The 22,540-nt window shown below is 37.8% G+C and overlaps 1 protein-coding gene across 1 annotated transcript in view, besides 1 other annotated feature; it reads left to right on the top strand.

Annotated features, from left to right (window-relative positions):
• The window catches only part of INTU (inturned planar cell polarity protein), a 93,781-nt gene that overhangs the window by 36,607 nt on the left and 34,634 nt on the right, over positions 1–22,540 (top strand). Inside the window, exons 6-8 of the mRNA NM_015693.4 lie at positions 4,561–4,650; positions 14,846–14,923; positions 18,115–18,304. Coding sequence (NP_056508.2) covers positions 4,561–4,650; positions 14,846–14,923; positions 18,115–18,304 — 358 coding nt within the window. The remainder of the gene's footprint in view (positions 1–4,560; positions 4,651–14,845; positions 14,924–18,114; positions 18,305–22,540) is intronic.
• Positions 17,124–18,323: an enhancer, noted in NCBI's record as "CDK7 strongly-dependent group 2 enhancer chr4:128607842-128609041 (GRCh37/hg19 assembly coordinates)". NCBI's record gives its function as "activates an origin of replication core promoter dependent on BRD2, BRD4, P300/CBP, MED14 and CDK7 cofactors, with strong dependence on CDK7, by STARR-seq in HCT116 cells {active_cell/tissue: HCT116}" and the evidence as "EXISTENCE:reporter gene assay evidence [ECO:0000049][PMID:35650434]".

Below are 22,540 nucleotides of genomic sequence, written 5' to 3' on the forward strand. Positions count from 1 at the left end.
AATACCTTTGTGGCAAACAGAATTGGCAAGAATGACTGAACACGAAAATTGGTCATATAGTTAGGACATATTCTGTTCTTACAACAATGATAGAAAAATACAAAATGTTCTTTAGGAGGGCTATTCATAATCTGTGAATTTTCCTGCCCTCCCACCCTTCAAAATCTCCAATGTCTGTTATTCCACATTCTATGTCCATGTGTACACATTATTTAGCTCCCATTTGTCCCTTTAATCTAACTTGATTTAGGTTAAAGGCTTAAAAGGAAGACTTGACACTATAGAAATGCTAGAGGAAAACCTAGGAAAAATGCTTCTGGACATTGGCCTAGGCAAATAATTCATGACTAAGACCTCAAAAGCAAATGCAGCAAAACCAAAAATAGACAAATAGGACAGATGCATTCGTCATCAGTGTAGTTAATGATGGATGAGCAACATTGATGTCAAATAATTTTATATTTAGAACTCTTAATATAGTCAATTATAGAGTCAAATACCCATTCCATTGATTTATTAAGCCCTGACATTGAAATGCCATAGTTAATTTATGGGAGGAAAAGGCTCAAAGCTTTTAGGTTTTGTGTTTTTTTTCATAAAATAAATCTAAGAATTATAAACAATTTTTCTTCCTTATTATTTCAACAATTTTAGACTTTACAAGGAAATTTTATCTCAAATTTCAACAGCCTCCGTAATACTGAAAAAATATCAAGTTGGATTTTCTAGGCTTTAACTTTTTTTCCCCCATATTCAGGTAGAAATGACATTTCTATGATTTTAAAAGAGGTAGAATCTACAAGGCAATAGACAGAAGAATTTTATGTTTTAACTAATTAAAAGTCATGTTTAACTATGTGACTTTAATATAGTGTATATACAAACTGTTAGTTTATTTTCAATACAGTAGTACTGGAGGCTCTATTTAGTTTATAAATTTGGGTTCATAAAAGCATATTGCAGGCCTCTTTTTATTTTTTAAAAATCTTTATTGAGATATAGTACATAAGTGATACAATTCACCCATTTGAAGTGCATGTGTAATCCTAAAATTGGTATGGAACCAAAAAAGAGCCTGAATAGCCAAAGCAGTCCTAAGCAAAAAGAACAAAACTTGGAGGCATCACATCACCTGACTTCAAATTATGCTACAAGGCTTTCTATAGTAACCCAAAACAGCATGGTACTGGTATAAAAATAGACATAGATCAATGGAACAGAACAGAGAACACAGAAATAAAGCCACATGCCTATAGCCAATTGACCTTTGACAAAGTTGACAAAAATATACACTGGGGAAAGCACACCCTATTCAATAAATGGTGCTGGGAAAGTTGGATAGCCATATGCAAAAGAATGAAACTGAACCCATCTCTCTCACCATATACAAAAATGAACTCAAGTTAGATTAAAGACTTAAGTGTAATGCCTGACACTATAAAAATGCTAGAAGAAAACCTAGGAAACACTCTTCTGGACTTTGACCTAGGCAAATAATTCATTAGTAAGACCTCAAAAGCAAATGCAACAAAACCAAAAAATAGATAAGTAGGTCTTAATTAAACTGAAAAGTTTCTACACAGCAAAAGAAATAGTCCAGAGTCAATAGATAGCCTGCGGAATGAGAGAAAATATTTGCAAATTGCACATCCACCAACTGACTAATATCCAGAATCTATATAAGGAACTCAGACAACTCAACAAGAAAACAACAAATAACCCCATTAAAAAGTGGGCAAAGGACATGAACAGACATTTTTTAAAAGAAGACATACAAATGGATAACGTGCATATGAAAAAATGCTCATCACTAATCATCAGAGAAATGCAAATTAAAAGCACAATGAGATAACATCTTACACCAGTCAGAATGGCTATTATTAAAAGGTCAAAAAATAACAGATGCTGGTGAGGATGCAGAGAAAAGGGAATGCTTATACAGTGCTGGTGGAATTGTAAATGAGTACAACCTCTACAGAAAACAGTATGGAGATTTCTCAAAAAACTAAAAATAGAACTACAATTTGATCCAGTAACCCCATGACTTGGTATATAACCAAAGGAAAAGAAATCATTATATCAAAAAGGTACCTGCACTCATATATTTATGAGTGCTATTCACAATAGCAAAGATAATGGAATCAATCTAAGCATCCATCAACAGATGACTGGATAAAGAAAATGTGGTGTATGTATATACTATGGAATAAAAAAGAACAAATAAATAAATGGAGTAAATTAAATAAATAAATGGAATAAATAACAGAGAATGAAATCATGTCATTTGCAGCAACGTAGATAGAACTGGAGGCCATTATCTTAAGTGAAACAACTCAAACAGAAAGTCAAATATCACATATTCTCACTTATAAATGGGGGCTAAATAATGTATACACATGGACATAGAGTGTAAAATAACAGACATTGGAGCTTTTGAAGGGCGGGAGGGGAGTCAGAAATGAAAAACTACTTAATGGATACAATGTACACTCCTTAGGTGATGGTTACACTAAAAGCCCAGACTTCACCACCATGCAACATCCATCTATTAAAACTGTACTTGTACTCCCTAAATATATACAAATAATAAATTTTAAAGTGTACAAGTAAATGCTTTTTGGTGTATTCACAGATATGCGCAACCCTCATCAAACTCAATTTTAAAACATTTTTCTCACCTCAGAAAGAAATCCTATACCCTTTAGCTCAGCCAGCCCAACCCCTGGGCAACTGCTAATCTACTTTCCATTCCTATAGATATCCCTGTTCTGGATATTACATATGAATGGAATCATATAATGTGTGGCTATTTGTGACTGGCTTCTTTCATTTAGCATAAGGAGGTGCATTCCTCCTTTTCAGTCTCATTAGAAAGAAAATTTAAGTTTCTCTGTGCGGTGTTGCTTTTTTTTTTTTTTTTGCCTTTATTTTTTCTACTGTAAAGAATAGATGTTATTTTACCTAATATTTAGATTTTGTTATTAACCATGAGATATGGGTTAATTGTGGAAAGCAGTAAATACAGCTAGAAAAACTTTTTTAAGAAGGTAATAAATATGAAAATTATTTTAGGGGTTCCTTAGCAATGTGTGTATCTTTTGTTGCATACACACTTTTTAAACTATAGTAATATTAGTATACTATAAGAGGCTAATATTTGTCTGAAAGTGTATGCATTTCTAAAAGTATTAAGACAAAAGCAATGTTCTGTGTGAAAAAATTTATTTTATAATTTATATTTTAAATTCCACACACTTAAGTTCTCTTTATTATCATAGTTCATTATTGTTTCTCTTTTTAGAACATAATTAAATTTTTAAAACTTCACTGAAGTATAATGAAGTAAACTGAACATATGTAAAATGTACAATTTGAATAGTTTCCACATAGGTGTATACCCTGAAACTATCGACACAGTGAATACATTCATCACCCCAAAAGTTTCCTTGAGAACACATTTAAATCTGACTTACATTTTGGTTACTTGTTTATATATTTGTGTCCCATACTGATTGTCATCTCAGCTGGGACTACATCTTCCTTTCTTTAGCAAATCATCTTCATAAATAGGCAGTCACAAAATATTTGTTAAATTAACCAACTGAGATGAAGCTTTTTTTTGTTTTGTTTTTGAGACAGGGCCTCGCTTTGTCACCCATGCTGGAGTGCATGGTGCAATCATGGCTAACCGCAGCCTTGACCTCCCAGCCTCAAGTGATCTTCCCATCTCACTCCCCACCCCAAGTAGCTAGGGACTACAGGACCACTCCACTACACCCAGCTAATTTTTTTTTTTTTTTTTTAAGAGATGCGGTCTTACTTTGTTCCCCAGGCTGGTCTCAAACTCCTGGGCTCAAGTGATCTTCCCACTTTAGCTTCCCTTAAGTGCTGGGATTATAGGTATGATCCACTGCACCCAGTTTTGAAGCTTTCTTTTGGAAAAAAAAATTATATTTAGTCACTTAATGTTAGCAAGAGAATTTCAACTTTTTTTTTTTTTCTATAATAGGTCTATTTTTGTTTGGCCTAGAGTTTTCTTTTTTCTTTTTTTGAGATAGAGTCTCACTGTGTCACCTAGGCTGGAGTGCAGTGGCACAATCTTGGCTCACTGCAACCTCCGCCTCCTGGGTTCAAGCACTTCTCATACCTCAGCCTCCCTAGTAGCCAGGATCACAGGCATGCACCACCCCACCAGGCTATCTTTTGTAATTTTAGTAGAGACAGAGTTTTGCCAAGTTGGCCAGGCTGTTCTCAAACTCCTGACCTCAAGAGATCCATCTGCCTTGGTCTCCCAAAGTGCTAGGATCATAGGTGTGAGCCACCACACCCAGCCTGGCCTAGAGTTTTCTGTTTTTTTGTTTTTTTTTTTTAATATGTTGGAGTATATTTTTGCTGTCATATAATTCCTTGCGTTTTTTATGTGACAGGAATATGAAAAGAAATCACTTATTAAGTATGTAGTTCTTAAATCATACCATATGCAATCTTTTATGAATTATACTTATAATTTTATGACATTTAAAGGTATTCTAACCTTATTTTGAATATATTGTTTCTTAGTTCATCCCTCCTTTTAAATGGAAAACAAATTCATGTGGCTTATTGGAAAGAATCTGACAAGTTGTTGCTAATTGGCCTGCCTGCTGAAGAGTAAGTTGAGGTTTTGCTTACCTTAAAATCATTTCCAAATAATGTTAACTTTTGTTTTGTTAAAATTATTACATTTTTGTCAAAAGACAAACTCCTTGAACAGTTTTACAGTTTAAAGATCTATTGCACTAGTAAAATAGTTACCTGTGTTCGTTTGGTATGAATAATGCAGAAAGGTGCCATGAAGCCTCAGCTGGGCCAGTTAGTAAGGGTGGGGCTGTCAATACACTTGCTTCTTTTGTGGTCAATAGAGAGGTGGCTGAGAGATGAGCTCTGCCTCTGCTTAAATTTTTGACAACATTGTGATTTGGATTTTGCACATTTACAGTTTTTTACTGTTGGAGGTTTTGGAGAATTAAGGGTCAGCAGAAGGGTATTTTGCCCTGATGTTGAGCATCTTTGACAAAATAAGGTATATGTAACTCTAAAGTGACTTCTCTAATGGTACATCTTATATTATCATGGTCTCCCTCTTAACTTTTTTGTGAGTATTTTGAAGTATACATTATTTTAATAGTTGGAGGTAAAAGCAGGATTGACATTATAATAAACTGACCTTGTGCTCCAGGGACTGCATTAGGTACTTTATATTTATTAAACTCATTTAATCTTCAAAATCACTTCCAGACGTACTTAGTGATTATTGGCTCCATTTTCCATGTGAGGAAAGTAAAATCAAAAGAGGGTTCAGTAACTTGCCAAAGCTCGCATAATCAGCAAGAGGCAGGATTGGAAATTGAATGTGGGTCTGTCTGAATTCTTTCTACAACATTGATTCCCTAACATCATAGGACATTGAAAACTAAGGGAGAAATAGACTACAAGTTTAGAGAATGGCCCTAAAGAGATAGACTTAACTACTATTATAATAGTGTTATGTTCCTGTTCAATGGTTTTTAAAACTTGTAATTTAGACTTTTGCCTACTTTAAAAAGGATTCAGACAACTTTTATTAAGTAATTAAACACACTTTAGTTTTCTCCTTTGGTCTGTAGAATCATAGCGTATGGTCTACAAAATAGGAATCAAATATCAAAATAAATACTATAATATGTGATGGATACAACTTCAGAGAATACCAGTTGAGATAAATTTTCTCTTGATGTTGCTTCAAGCTTCCCAAGAAAGAAAAAGATGTACCAGAAAGATGCATTATCTAGCCAATCTGAACGTGAATATGACTATTTTTTATTACTAATGAATTTGTTAACCAGATTTCCTTCATTATACAGCAGTGTATTCATTTTTTATTGCTGTGTAACAAATCATTCCCAAAAACATAGGGGTAATTTAAACTTAAATAGTAAACATTTATTAACACAAAGGTGTTTTCGTGGTTCAGGAATCCAGGAGTAATCTAGCAGGTAGTTCTGCCTCAAGGTCTTTTCTTGAGGTTACAGTCCAGTGTTGGCCAGGGATAGACTTATCTGAAGGCTTTAACTGGAGCTGGAGAATCTGCTTCCAAAGTGGCTTACACACATGGCCATTGTCAGGAGGCCTAGTTTCTTGCCACATGGACCTCTCCATGTAGCTGCTTGGGTATCCTCATAACATGTCAACTGGCTTCCTCCAAAGTGGCGAGCCAAAAGACAGAAAGAGGGGGATGCTACAAGACCTTTTATGGCTTAGTCTTAAAAGTGATACACTGCCATTTCCACAATATTTCTAATTTCCACCATTCTGTTTGTTAGAATTGAGTTACCAAGCTCAGCCCACACTCATGGGGAGAGGAATTAAGCCTCACTTCTTGAGGGGAAGAGTATCAAAGAATTTGTGGACCTATTTTACCATCACAAACAGGAATTCCAAAGATGGCTACAGTGAAAAATATCAAAATGATTATGTTTTGAAGGTAACTTTAATTTTGGACAGAAAGAAATATAATCCACCATAAATGTGGGGTTCAAATCTTTTTACATGGAGGGATAATGGCGCTGTGACATATACTAGATGAGGGCACTCTTTAACCAGCCACACAAGAGAAAAATATGTGTTTTTCTGTCTAAAATAGGATACTGAACCCTTCTCAGAGACTGTCCTTTGGGTTTGGATTATGAAGAACGAAGGAGTTGTTTAGAAAGTATGGCTCTACAGCCAGGCAGTGGCTCACACCTATAATCCTAGCACTTTGGGAGGCCAAGGCTGGCGGATTGCTTGAGCTCAGGAGTTCAAGACCAGCCTAGGTAACATGGTGAAACCCCGTCTCTTCAGCAAATACAAAAATTAGCCAGGCACAGTGGCATGCACCTGTAGTTCCAGCTACTTGGGAGGCTGAGGTGGGAGGATTGCTTGGGCCTTGGAGGCAGAGGTTGCAGTTAGCTGTGATGCTGCCACTGTACTCCAGCCTGGGTGACAGAGCAAGACAATGTCTCAAAAAAAAAAAAAAAGAGAGAGAGAGGTGGGAGCCAAGATGGCCGAATAGGAACAGGTCCAGTCTACAGCTCCCAGCGTGAGCGATGCAGAAGACGGGTGATTTCTGCATTTCCATCTGAGGTACCGGGTTCATCTCACTAGGGAGTGCCAGACAGTGGGCACAGGACAGTGGGTGCAGCGCACCATGCCTGAGCCGAAGCAGGGAGAGGCATTGCCTCACTCGGGAAGCGCAAGGGGTCAGGGAGTTCCCTTTCCTAGTCAAAGAAAGGGGTGACAGACAGCACCTGGAAAATCGGGTCACTCCCACCCCAATACTGCGCTTTCCCAACAGGCTTAAAAAAAGGCGCACCAGGAGATTATATCCCGCACATGGCTCGGAGGGTCCTACGCCCACGGAGTCTCGCTGATTGCTAGCACAGCAGTCTGAGATCAAACTGCAAGATGGCAGGGAGGCTGGGGGAGGGGAGCCCGCCATTGCCCAGGCTTGCTTAGGTAAAGAAAGCAGCCGGGAAGCTCGAACTGGGTGGAGCCCACCACAGCTCAAGGAGGCCTGCCTGCCTCTGTAGGCTCCACCTCTGGGGGCAGGGCACAGACGAAAAAAAAGACAGCAGTAACCTCTGCAGACTTAAATGTCCATGTCTGACAGCTTTGAAGAGAGCAGTGGTTCTCCCAGCATGCAGCTGGAGATCTGAGAATGGGCAGACTGCCTCCTCAAGTGGGTCCCTGACCCCTGACCCCCGAGCAGCCTAACTGGGAGGCACCCCCCAGTAGGGGCAGACTGACACCTCACACAGCAGGGTACTCCTCTGAGACAAAATTCCAGAGGAACGATCAGACAGCAGCATTCGCGGTTCACGAAAATCTGCTGTTCTGCAGCCACCGCTGCTGGTACCCAGGCAAACAGGGTCTGGAGTGGACCTCTAGCAAACTCCAACAGACCTGCAGCTGAGGGTCCTGTCTGTTAGAAGGAAAACTAACAAACAGAAAGGACATCCACACCAAAAACCCATCTGTACATCACCATCATCAAAGACCAAAAGTAGATAAAACCACAAAGACGGGGAAAAAACAGAGCAGAAAAACTGGAAACTCTAAAAAGCAGAGTGCCTCTCCTCCTCCAAAGGAACGCAGCTCCTCACCAGCAACGGAACACAGCTGGACGGAGAATGACTTTGACGAGATGAGAGAAGAAGGCTTCAGACGATCAAACTACTCCGAGCTACAGGAGGAAATTCAAACCAAAGGCAAAGAAGTTGAAAACTTTGAAAAAAATTTAGATGAATGTATAACTAGAATAACCAATACAGAGAAGTGCTTAAAGGAGCTGCTGGAGTGGAAAGCCAAGGCTCGAGAACTACGTGAAGAATGCAGAAGCTTCAGGAGCCGATGCAATCAACTGGAAGAAAGGGTATCAGTGATGGAAGATGAAATGAATGAAATGAAGCAAGAAGGGAAGTTTAGAGAAAAAAGAATAAAAAGAAACAAACAAAGCCTCCAAGAAATATGGGACTATGTGGAAAGACCAAATCTACGTCTGATTGGTGTACCTGAAAGTGATGGGGAGAATGGAACCAAGTTGGAAAACACTCTGCAGAATATTATCCAGGAGAACTTCCCCAATCTAGCAAGGCAGGCCAACATTCAGATTCAGGAAATACAGAGAACGCCACAAAGATACTCCTCGAGAAGAGCAACTCCAAGACACATAATTGTCAGATTCACCAAAGTTGAAATGAAGGAAAAAATGTTAAGGGCAGCCAGAGACAAAGTTCGGGTTACCCACAAAGGGAAGCCCATCAGACTAACAGTGGATCTCTCGGCAGAAACCCTACAAGCCAGAAGAGACTGGGGGCCAATATTCAACATTCTTAAAGAGAAGAATTTTCAACCCAGAATTTCATATCCAGCCAAACTAAGCTTCATAAGTGAAGGAGAAATAAAATACTTCACAGACAAGCAAATGCTGAGAGATTTTGTCACCACCAGGCCTGCCCTAAAAGAGCTCCTGAAGGAAGCACTAAACATGGAAAGGAACAACTGGTACCGGCCACTGCAAAATCATGCCAAATTGTAAAGACCATCGAGGCTAGGAAGAAACTGCATCAACTAACGAGCAAAATAACCAGCTAACATCATAATGACAGGATCAAATTCACACATAACAATATTGACTTTAAATGTAAATGCACTAAATGCTCCAGTTAAAAGACACAGACTGGCAAATTGGATAAAGAGTCAAGACCCATCAGTGTGCTGTATTCAGGAAACCCATCTCACGTGCAGAGACACACATAGGCTCAAAATAAAAGGATGGAGGAAGATCTACCAAGCAAATGGAAAACAAAAAAAAGGCAGGGGTTGCAATCCTAGTCTCTGATAAAACAGACTTTAAACCAACAAAGATCAAAAGAGACAAAGAAGGCCATTACATAATGGTAAAGGGATCAATTCAACAAGAAGAGCTAACTATCCTAAATATATATGCGCCCAATACAGGAGCACCCAGATTCATAAAGCAAGTCCTGAGTGACCTACAAAGAGACTTAGACTCCCACACAATAATAATGGGAGACTTTAACACCCCACTGTCAACATTAGACAGATCAATGAGACAGAAAGTTAACAAGGATACCCAGGAATTGAACTCAGCTCTGCACCAAGAGGACCTAACAGACATCTACAGAACTCTCGACCCCAAATCAACAGAATATACATTTTTTTCAGCACCACACCACACCTATTCCAAAATTGACCACATACTTGGAAGTAAAGCTCTCCTCAGCAAATGTAAAAGAACAGAAATTATAACAAACTGTCTCTCAGACCACAGTGCAATCAAACTACAACTCAGGATTAAGAAACTCACTCAAAACCGCTCAACTGCATGGAAACTGATCAACCTCCTCCTGAATGACTGCTGGGTACATAATGAAATGAAGGCAGAAATAAAGATGTTCTTTGAAACCAACGAGAACAAAGACACAACATACCAGAATCTCTGGGACACATTCAAAGCAGTGCATAGAGGGAAATTTATAGCACTAAATGCCCACAAGAGAAAGCAGGAAAGATCCAAAATTGACACCCTAACATCACAATTAAAAGAACTAGAAAAGCAAGAGCAAACACATTCAAAAGCTAGCAGAAGGCAAGAAATAACTAAAATCAGAGCAGAACTGAAGGAAATAGAGACACAAAAAACCCTTCAAAAAATTAATGAATCCAGGAGCTGGTTTTTTGAAAGGATCAACAAAATTGATAGACCACTAGCAAGACTAATAAAGAATAAAAGAGAGAAGAATCAAATAGACGCAATAAAAAATGATAAAGGAGATATCACCACCGATCCCACAGAATTACAAACTACCGTCAGAGAATACTACAAACACCTCTATGCAAATAAACTAGAAAATCTAGAAGAAATGGATAAATTCCTTGACACATACACCCTCCCAAGACTAAACCAGGAAGAAGTTGACTCTCTGAATAGAACAATAACAGAATCTGAAATGGTGGCAATAATCAATAGCTTACCAACCAAAAAGAGTCCAGGACCAGATGGATTCACAGCTGAATTCTACCAGAGGTACAAGGAGAAACTGGTACCATTCCTTCTGAAACTATTCCAATCAACAGAAAAAGAGGGAATCCTCCCTAACTCATTTTATGAGGCCAGCATCATCCTGATACCAAAACCTGGCAGAGACACAACCAAAAAAGAGAATTTTAGACCAATATCCTTGATGAACATTGATGCAAAAATCCTCAATAAAATACTGGCAAACCGAATCCAGCAGCACATCAAAAAGCTTATCCACCATGATCAAGTGGGCTTCATCCCTGGGATGCAAGGCTGGTTCAATATATGCAAATCAATAAATGTAATCCAGCATATAAACAGAGCCAAAGACAAAAACCACATGATTATCTCAATAGATGCAGAAAAAGCCTTTGACAAAATTCAACAACCCTTCATGCTAAAAACTCTCAATAAATTAGGTATTGATGGGACGTATCTCAAAATAAGAGCTATCTATGACAAACCCACAGCCAATATCATACTGAATGGGCAAAAACTGGAAGCATTCCCTTTGAAAACTGGCACAAGACAGGGATGCCGTCTCTCACCGCTCCTATTCAACATAGTGTTGGAAGTTCTGGCCAGGGCAATTAGGCAGGAGAAGGAAATAAAGGGTATTCAATTAGGAAAAGAGGAAGTCAAATTGTCCCTGTTTGCAGATGACATAATTGTATATCTAGAAAACCCCATTGTCTCAGCCTAAAATCTCCTTAAGCTGATAAGCAACTTCAGCAAAGTCTCAGGATACAAAATCAATGTACAAAAATCACAAGCATTCTTATATACCAATAACAGACAAACAGAGAGCCAAATCATGAGTGAACTCCCATTCACAATTGCTTCAAAGAGAATAAAATACCTAGGAATCCAACTTACAAGGGATGTGAAGGACCTCTTCAAGGAGAACTACAAACCACTGCTCAATGAAATAAAAGAGGATACAAACAAATGGAAGAACATTCCATGCTCATGGGTAGGAAAAATCAATATCATGAAAATGGCCATACTGCCCAAGGTAATTTATAGATTCAATGCCATCCCCATAAAGCTACCAATGACTTTCTTCACAGAATTGGAAAAAACTACTTTAAAGTTCAAATGGAACCAAAAAAGAGGCCGCATCGCCAAGTCAATCCTAAGCCAAAAGAACAAAGCTGGAGGCATCACCCTACCTGACTTCAAACTATACTACAAGGCTACAGTAACCACAACAGCATGGTACTGGTACCAAAACAGAGATATAGATCAATGGAACAGTACAGAGCCCTCAGAAATAATGCCTCATATCTACAACTATCTGATCTTTGACAAACCTGAGAAAAACAAGCAGTGGGGAAAGGATTCCCTATTTAATAAATGGTGCTGGGAAAACTGGCTAGCCATATGTAGAAAGCTGAAACTGGATCGCTTCCTTACACCTTATACAAAAATTAATTCAAGATGGATTAAAGACTTAAACGGTAGACCTAAAACCATAAAAACCCTAGAAGAAAACCTAGGCATTACCATTCAGGACATAGGCATGGGCAAGGACTTCATATCTAAAACACCAAAAGCAGTGGCAACAAAAGACAAAATTGACAAATGGGATCTAATTAAACTAAAGAGCTTCTACACAGCAAAAGAAACTACCATCAGAGTGAACAGGCAACCTACAAAATGGGAGAAAATTTTTGCAACCTACTCATCTGACAAAGGGCTAATATCCAGAATCTACAATGAACTCAAACAAATCTGCAAGAAAAAAACAAACAACCCCATCAAAAAGTGGGCGAAGGACATGAACAGATACTTCTCAAAAGAAGACATTTATGCAGCCAAAAAACACATGAAAAAATGCTCATCATCACTGGCCATCAGAGAAATGCAAATCAAAACCACAATGAGATACCGTCTCACACCAGTTAGAATGGCAATGATTAAAAAGTCAGGAAACAACAGGTGCTGGAGAGGATGTGAAGAAATAGAAACACTTTTACACTGTTGGTGGGACTGTAAACTAGTTCAGCCCTTGTGGAAGTCAGTGTGGCGATTGCTCAGGGATCTAGAACTAGAAATACGATTTGACCCAGCCATCCCATTACTGGGTATATGCCCAAAGGACTATAAATCATGCTGCTATAAAGACACATGCACACGTATGTTTATTGCAGCACTATTCACAATAGCAAAGACTTGGAACCAACCCAAATGTCCAACAATGATAGACTGGATTAAGAAAATGTGGCATATATATACCATGGAATACTATGCAGCCATAAAAAAGGATGAGTTCATGTCCTTTGTAGGAACATGGATGAAATTGGAAATCATCATTCTATCGCAAGAATAAAAAACCAAACACCGCATATTCTCACTCATAGGTGGGAATTGAACAATGAGAACACATGGACACAGGAAGGGGAACATCACACTCTGGGGACTTTTGTGGGGTGGGGGGAGGGGGGAGGGATAGCTTTAGGAGGTATACCTAATGCTAAATGACGAGTTAATGGGTGCAGCACACCAGCATGGCACATGTATACATATGTAACTAACCTGCACATTGTGCACATGTACCCTAAAACTTAAAAGTATAATAATAATAAAATAAAAAATAAAAATAAATAAAAGAAAAGAAATAAATTATGGGTTTACAAGGATTGGAGAACATCCAGAATGAGATGATTTAGGATGTAGCAGCAGAGTAAAACATGTCTCTTTAAGACTTTTGTAGCAGCCCAAAAGGCAAAAGAGAAGAAAGAGAATACAGTGGTGAGATAAAGGTAGCATAGGCAGTTAGAGAGAGGAAAGGCAGACCTGGATAAGGAACTGAGCAAAGGCTGTTCAACCACACTCTGATGACACCAGCCGAATCAGCTAGGCAGAGACAGTTTCCAGGTGAGTTTGTATCCTGAAGCCAACAAAGGACTGTCACTGCTGAGCTCTGGACCAAGGTTGTGCCACATGAGGGATGCTCTAGCTAATTTCTCAATCTTTATTAAACAGGGTGGGGGAAGGGAGGCCATCTTCCCTAAATATTTATGTCATTCCTCTCCTAAAGAACTTGGCTTGATAAGTTAGAATTAATTTGAAGATCCCCTTTATTCTCTTTCCTGAGCTTCCAGTGAAAAGTAAGCTTGAGCCATCTCTTTACCCTTCTCTTAAATGCTCACACCAACCCTTTGTTCCAGATTATTTTCCCTCTTCTATCTCATTTCACATAACTAAAAGATAGGTAGTAGTATTCTCATTTATTCAAACTTGGAAATAGAGTATGGAGAGATCATGCATAAGCACCTCTTCAGTGTCAACTTACACGTCTTCGTATCACCAACATTTTGCATGTGCTTTGTAATTGAACTCACAGCCCTGGGATTTTCTCCTCGTCCATCTCAGTGCCATAGACTGCGTGTTTCCCTCCTCACCTCTATGCCTTTTATAAGCAGGGTGAGAAAAGTGCTGTCCCACAGAATTTAGGGTGGGGCACATGATCGAGGGACATGTGTTTTCAGATGGGAAGATCACATTCCCGTGATGGCTGCAGTGAATAGCGGAAACCTAACCAGGAGGACAGTGTGGGGTAGTGGGAGAATAACTTTGGGTCTAAGAAGATAAGTGCTCACCGGCAGGCTCTACTCCCTTTCTACCCTTGCAGAAATTACGTAATTTCTTGGACTTCTGTTTACTTATTTGTATAATGGGAATAATAAGAGCTACCTTATAAAATTCTTAAAAGGCTTCAATGAGAAAATGTAAGTCCATTTCTTTATTTCCTTTCTCCTACTTTCTTCCCATCCTCCATTTCAATTAAGAGTGTGTTTTTGTCACAGGACTTGGAGGCCCAGTTGATATGTGGGTAATACTAAAAAGTGTCAAGAATTTAGAATTTCTTTTTATGGGCCCAGGTCTTGTAAAAACTAGTTTATTTGCATTAATTTCATTTAATTCTCAGAATCAATCTGAGAAGGGCTTGGTGACTACTGGCCTCATTTTACAGATGAAGAAACTGAACTTTAGAGACAGTTACATGATTTACAAATAAATGGTGTTATAAAATCCCTGTTAGATTCATGCTGGAACTAAATCTAGAATAAAGTGATCAATGGTCATTGAAAGCGACCATTTTGTACAGCTTTACTCAGAGTTGACACACATACTTTTCACATTCCGTATGTGTAAAATTCAAGGATGATCTACTTCTTTTAGATAAATGTCATTTGATTATGTTGTAAATTAATACGTGTAATTTTGCTTTTTTAGAGTTCCTCTTCCTCGTCTAAGGAACATGATAGAAAATGTCATCCAAACCTTAAAATTTATGTATGGTTCTTTAGATAGGTAAGTACTTCTTCAAATTGAATCTCAAGTTTTAATTATGTGATTCTAAGTCATCTTCTGCATTTAAGACCATTTCTTGCTTGACAGGTTAGTTATTTGTCTCTTTTCTCCTCCCTCCCCTCTTTCCTCCTCCTCTTCCTTCCTCTTCCTCCTCCTCCTTCTTCCTTCTCCTCCTCTTCCTTCCCCCTTTCTCTATCCTTATTCCTCCACCTCCTTCTTTTTCTCCTTCCTCTTCTTATTTTCTCATCTTTTATTACTGGCTTTTTTGTTATAACAGTAGACAGTTTTTCATTTGATTCATTTCCTTTTTTTTTTCCTTTTTGGTCTCATATATGACTTTAGTGAAATTTCTTAGTGAATTAGTGATATAACCACAACTGTGTTCTGATTTGATATATTTCTGTAGGGGCAAATGTAAGAGTATTTCTTCATAACAGATACAGAAAAGAGAAAGACTTAAAATACATTTTTGTGTTTTTCTTTGCTTATAAGACCATCAAATTCACTATCCTGAAATATGCTTCTTTCTCAAAAAAATTTCTTTAGTAAAAAATTTATGCACTATTATTTAAAAAGACATACAGTAGAGACGGTATTGACTGGTTTTGTTCGTGTCCTTCCATATATTTTCTATACAATAAAAATATACATACTCCCTTTTTAATAAAAGTATGCTGTTATGCATATTTTTCTGCTTCTTGCGTTTTTAACCTTCTTGATTGGAAGGCAGAAATTTGAGGTAACATTTAACATAAAATTGGGTATGGGAAATCGATTTTTCTCTTAGTGACTTTTGTTCTTGTATTTCTGAGGGCTAAAATGGTATCTTTATGTTTAAAGCCTTAGGAGTATATCAGTACAAAAATCCAAAGGCAGTTTATACATTTTTCCAAACCATAGTGATATCAGCTCTCTGTTTATCTATAGTGGATCTTTGTTCTCATTGTTCTTACAGTATCATGAAGGAATTTTCTGTGATTGTGTCATCTGGGAAAATTATCTAGTTTGCAGTGTTCTCTAGAGGAACTGCTGAGGAGGCACATCCCTGTCAAACCTGATTGCTTACCAACATTTTCCAGATAAGTGAGCTACAAAGAGCTGGGCATCCATAAATAGTGCTTTTACCTTTTACTAGTAAGGAAAGTTTTAACCAATGAAGAGTAAGAATGTGGTTATGAACTGCCTCTTTAAGTTTACTCAACAGAAGAAAACTTTGCCATATTTTGCCCTAATTGAAGCTTTCTGTTTTCATAAAACCAGAGATTATCAAAGATTAAATTTTTGCAATGATTTTCATACATATAAATAGTCCATTGGAGTTGTCCTACAAATTCCATTAGAGTAGACTGGGGACAGAGGGACTTAATTTCTCTTTCATCTTGAAATTTATCTTCCATTGATAGTGGAAGTATCTTTTTGATGGCAGCAAATTTAACTCTTTTCTACTTCAAGTGAGAATTTAAAGAGCAAACTACGATAATAAATGTGAAGATCCATTGAGTTCTTAAAACCAAGAAGCACAGTGAATCCAGGATGTTATTAATAGACATTTTGTAATAAATTTTTATAACAACTTTTTTTCTGATTATGAAAGATATTAAGGGCCAATTGTGAAAAATTACAAGAAGACCAAAAAGTGTAGAGACTTGATTATCTTTTTAAAGTTGTGAGCTGGTTAATTCTCTATGAGCCACAGAAAACTGACTATATACTAACAGTTTAACGTTGTGACCAAATTAAAGCTATAACAATTTCCTTCACCATTCCCCACTAATTCATCAGCAAGTCCTGATCAGTCTGTCTTCAAAATCTCCAATCTGTCCATTTCTCTTTATCTTTATTATTGCCCTGTCCAGCCACTGCTATCTCTCACACACTACAGTAGCCTCCTAACTGGTCTCCTTCCCTTCATTCTTGCCACTTGAACTAATTTTCATATAGCAGCGTGATCTTTCTACATTATTATCTGGTTCCTACCTACCCCTCTGACTTCAGATATCAAACCACACGTGCCTCCTTTGCACTGTATTGCAAACACCCTGGCAAAGCTTTTCCCCAGCCCAGGGCTTTTGTACTTTTTCTTCTTGCTGGATCTTTCTGACATTGGAATATCAGCTCAAATGCCCTTTCTCAGAGATTCTTCTCCAACCATTCAACCTAAAATAGCCAATCTGTCACACCACCCATTCATATTGTGCTATTTTCTGCATAGTCCTTTATATGAATTTGTGTTTTTTACTTTTTGTTCATTTGCTGTCTTTCTCCATTAGAACATAAGCTTCATGGGAGCTCATTGTCTTTTGTCTTGATATTTTTACTGCCATACCTCCAGCAATGAGAATAGTGCCTGGAATGTAGTAGTCACTCAAATATTTGTTAGATGAATCAGCAAATAATTATTTTGATATGCCGATAGCATATGTACCTGCTATTTTGTCATTCAGTGAGCTGTTCCAATAAATGCTTGCAGTCAATGCTGTGTTACTTTTATATGGCTAAAACCAAGTATTTCGGTTTTTTCTGTCATTTTGTTTTTTGAGTTCTTTAATGTTATACCTTCAGTAGTAAAGAGGGGAGGAAATAACTTATGCTTATTATGTACTTACTGTTTACCAGTAAATAATAAGCATAATAAGAACTTATGCTTGTTATGTTCTAGGCATTCTGCATGTGAGCTAGATTGTATTAACCCTGTTTTTACAGAGTTGGAAACCAAAGTTAGAGAAAGGTTAGGTGATTTGCCTGTGATAGCTACCTAGAAAGAGCTGTGATAAGCCAGATCTGTTCTATTACAAAGTTCAAAATCTCTTTATCATTCCACGTTGCCTGAAAGATTTCAGGAGTTGTAAATGGTTAAAAGACAGTCAGAGGTAAAAACAACCTACATTTTTTACAAAAAGGGTACTTCAGCCCTTTCTTTTATAAATATGTCACTTGTGTTAGCCCTGTGGTTCTTCCATAGAGCCATCTACTTGATACACTTGAGAGTAGGTTTTAGGGTAAAAAGTTTGGACAGGGTAAATTTCTTTACACAATCCGTCAGTAACATTCTAGCAGCAATTCTATTGAAGGAAGAGAGGAGTGAGGAAGATAGCCTATGTAGTTGGGAAAGATCCAGTTCCCTTAGGAGCACACAAAAAATGACCACCATTTCCATATGTCGTTCTAACTTACAGCTCTTATTTCTCCAGTGCCTTTTGCCAGATTGAGAATGTTCCTCGTTTGGATCATTTTTTTAACTTGTTCTTTCAAAGAGCACTTCAGCCTGCGAAACTGCATTCCAGCGCCAGTCCCAGTGCTCAGCAGTACGATGCTTCCAGTGCAGTACTTTTAGACAACCTCCCTGGAGTCCGGTGGCTCACACTTCCACTGGAAATCAAGGTAATCTTAGGTATTATAAAGCAGAAGCAGAACCAGGTGCCTTATTATAATCTTGTATCTTCTCTTTTTTTCGTAGACTTTTTGTTATTTTTGGAATTATGGTTAAAAATTAAAGAGGCAATTGGTTGACAAAGTAGGAGGTCCAGTGCAATAAACCCAGAAAGAGAAATTATCCTTTATAAGTAGAAATTAGCTCTCTCCTCTTACTTTTAAATTTAAGCTTTATCCAAGCTAGGACTACTTTTCAGAAATCGTAATTAAATGGTGTGTCTTACTTTGGAATTTTGTGACTTTGATTTTATAATGTAAGGTTATCAAGTTAGAATTATGTTTCTGTACAAAAAAAAAAAAAGTGGATGACATGGTTGACTAACAGTATTCTCAGTTAAAATACAAAGTCCACTAGTCTACCAAAATCTTTTTTTACATGAACATATGTGATTAGCTTTTGGCTTGTCCCATGGATCGCATACCAATAGTAAAACTGTATGACGGTTAAGAATTATCAATATGATTTTAGTTATATCTGTGAACCTAGAATAACTTTATTATTGAATGATTGACAAGATTATTTCAGACATTTTCATCAGTGTAGATCACCATATAATCTATTTAGTTACAGCATTTGTATTAGTATTAAATGAGGCATTATGCCATAGCCACTTCTCTGCTCTTGAAGAAACCTAGGCTATGTTACAGTAGAAACCTAATTCAAGTTCCTACTCTTCATAAGACTCTACAATGTATGATCAAATAAATGCCTTTTTGACAGCTTAATAGTTATTTAAATTGATGTATCAATCACTTTGCTCAGTTTCCTCATCTGTAAAATGGAGGAAATAATAGTCCCTACTTCATGGAAGATTTATGAGTTATTACACGTGAAGTATTTAGAATTGTGCCCGGCACATTGTAGTTGTAGTTATGGGAGCATTATTATACAATTACTATTTGAAAGGAGATGAGGTGTTAGAGCATGTTCAAAAGATGCTTTGCCTTCTGGTATTTTTTTTGTCCTTAGCTCTATCAACTGCCTGGTCTTTTGATATTTCAGGACAATAATTACCCTTTCCTTTCTTTCTTTCTTTTTCTTTTCTTTCTTTCTTTTTTTTTTTTTTTTTTTTTTTGAGACAGGGTCTTGCTTTGTCACCCCAGCTGGAGTGGGAGTGCAGTGGCATGATCATAGCTCACTGCAGCCTCCACATCCCAGGCTCGGGTGATCTTCTCACCTCAGCCTCTCAGGTAGCTGGGACTACACATGCACACCACCATGCCTGGCTAATTTTTGTATTTTTAAGTAGAGACCAGGTTTCTCCATGTTTCCCAGGCTGGTCTCGAACTCCTGAGCTCAAGCAATCTGCCCGCCTCAGTCTCCTAGAGTGCTGGATTACAGGCATGAGCCATGGCACCTGGCCTACCATTTTCTTAAATTGTATAAAAAACTAAGAAGTATGAGATATATAATTCTACCTAATATTTTCATAAGAATATATAAGCATTGGCTGGGCATGGTGGCTCATGCCTGTAATCCTCGTGCTTTGGGAGACTGAGGTGGGAGGATCACTTGAGGCCAAGAGTTCAAGACCAGCCTGGACAACATATGGAGACCCTATCTCCACAAAAACTTTAAACATTAGCAGAGCATGGTGGCACACACCTGTATTCCAGCTACTCAGTAGGCTGAGGTGGGAGGATTACTTGAACCCAGGAGTTGGGCTCCCCACTCAATCATAGTTGCAGTGAGCTATGATTGCACCACTGCACTACGGTGGGGCAACAGAATGAGACCCTATCTCAGGAAAGGAAAGGAAAAGGAAAAAGAAGAGGGAAAAGGGAAGAGAAAAGGAAAAAGGAAAGGAGAAAGAAAGGGGAAAGGAAAGGGGGAGGGAAGAGGCAAGGGAAGGGAAGGGAAGGATATAAGTGTTCGATATAGATAGAAACATAGAAAGTAACTAGATAACTTTACCTTTAAAAGAGAAAGACCCTGGTTCCAAAGACTGTCTCATGCCCATTCTGGGGTCTTTTATCCTCAGTCACAGGGCCCATGCCCACTTCATGAGTCAGAAGGTACCATCTCGTGAGGCTTGCCATTCTACCTGGCCATTACTTAGGTTCTTGCCCCTCTGTCAGAATTTCTTCATTAAAGAAACCTCTTCCCTCAAAATATATAGTCCCTTCTTTCTGTGATAGTAGAGGTACTTAATGTTTTAGGGGCAGTGTGTTTAGAATTTAGATACATTAAATATTATCTTCCCTCGAAGAAGTTTAAGATGTTCTAAAGTATTGTCTATTTGGGGCTTACAGATTCCATGTGAAGGCTACCTCTTTTTCATTGAGATTTTTGTTAATTTAGCATATATTTCTTTAAAAGATTTATATGCTTTTCTTTATTTCACCCTAAAAGAATATCAAATTAAGAAATCACTGTGTGAATTCTGGTATACATTTTTAATTCATTGCCTTAAACCATAGCTGTTGCTTATCTTGCCAGTGCTTTGGCTGCTTTTATCCTTGTTACGTCTAACACTGCTGTGTGGAGATCAGTGTTCATTGTGCCGGTTGCTCAAGTCTGTGCCATGCTTTGCAGAATCCAGAAAAACCTCTAGATGTTCACAGTCAGGTTGAGCAGGTGAAATTAATACACAGGAAACAGTGAGGATCTGGCTTAGATGTTTTCTACATTTTGTAGTCCAGTTAGGAGATTAAGAACAATACTTTTGGGAAGAGAGCTAGATACCTTTTGCTAAAGTAGTCTAAAGCTCTATTTGATTAATATAAAATTTGAACAACAATAACATTTGAAGTTTTTTTTATTCTATTTTTTACTGCAGTTTTAGGTTCACAGTAAAATTGAGAGAAAGGTACAGATTTCCCACGTACCCCCTTCCCCCATACATCATACATGCATAGCCTCTCCATTATCAACATTCCCCACCACAGGGGTACAGTTGTTATAATTGATGAACCTACATTGACACATCATAATAACCCAAAGTCCATCATTTACATTAGGGTTCATTCTTGGTGGTGTACATTCTATAGATTTAGACAGATTATAATGACATGGATCCATCCTTTTAGTATCATACAGAGTAGTTTCACAGCCCCAGAAATCCTCTGTGTTCTGCCTATCCCTCTCTTTCATCCCTCCCTTTCCATTAACCCCTGGAAACAAATGATCTTTTCACTGCCTCCATCATTTTGCATTTTCCAAAATGTTATATAGTTGTAATCATATGGTATGTAGTCTTTTCAGATTGGCTTCTTTCACTTAGTAATATACATTTTAAGTTCCTCTTTGTCTTTTTACAGCTTGATAGCTCATTTCTTTTTAATGCTGAATAGTATTTCATTGTTCAGGTATACCATAGTTTATTTATCCATTCGCTGAAAATCTCTGTTGCTCCCATGTTTGGGCAATTAATTCTTGGTCAAATAGCAAGAGAATGTTTAGTTTTGTAAGAAACTACCAAACTGTCTTCCAAAGTGGCTGTATTTTGTATTCCTACCAGCAATGAATGAGAGTTCCTGTTGTTCCATATCCTTGTCAGGACTTAGTTTTGTCAGTATTTTGGATTTGGGTCATTCTACTGTGTGTCTAGTTCTGTCTCATTGTTATTTTAATTTGCATTTCCCTGATGACCATATGATGTGGAATATCTTTTCATGTGCTTATTTGCCTTCTGAATATCTTGTTTGGTGAAGTGTTTGTTAAGGCCTTTGGCCCATTTTTTTTTAATTCGGTAGGTTTTTGGGGAACAGGTGGTGTTTGGTTACATGAATAAGTCCATTAGTGGCAATTTCTGCAATTTTGGTCCACCCATCACCCAAGGAGTATACACTGTACCTAATGTGTAGTCTTTTATCTCTTGCCACCCCCTGCTCTTTCCCCCAAGTTCCCAAAGTCCAATGTATCATTCTTATGCCTTTGCATCCTCATAGCTTAGCTCCCACCTATGAGTGAGAACATATGATGTTTGGTTTTCCATTTCTGAGTTACTTCACTTAGAATAATAGTCTCCAATTCCATCCAGGTTGCTGCAAATGCCATTATTTTGTTCCTTTTTATGGCGGAGTATAGTGTTCCATGGTATGTATATATATATATATATATGTCACATTTTCTTTATCCACTCGTTGATTAATGGGCATCTGGTTCCATATTTTTGTAATTGCGAATTGTGCTGCCATAAACATGTGTGCAAATATCTTATTTGTATAATGACTTCTTTTCCT

This window comes from Homo sapiens, chromosome 4 (assembly GCF_000001405.40).
Source record: "Homo sapiens chromosome 4, GRCh38.p14 Primary Assembly".
NCBI lineage: Eukaryota > Metazoa > Chordata > Mammalia > Primates > Hominidae > Homo > Homo sapiens.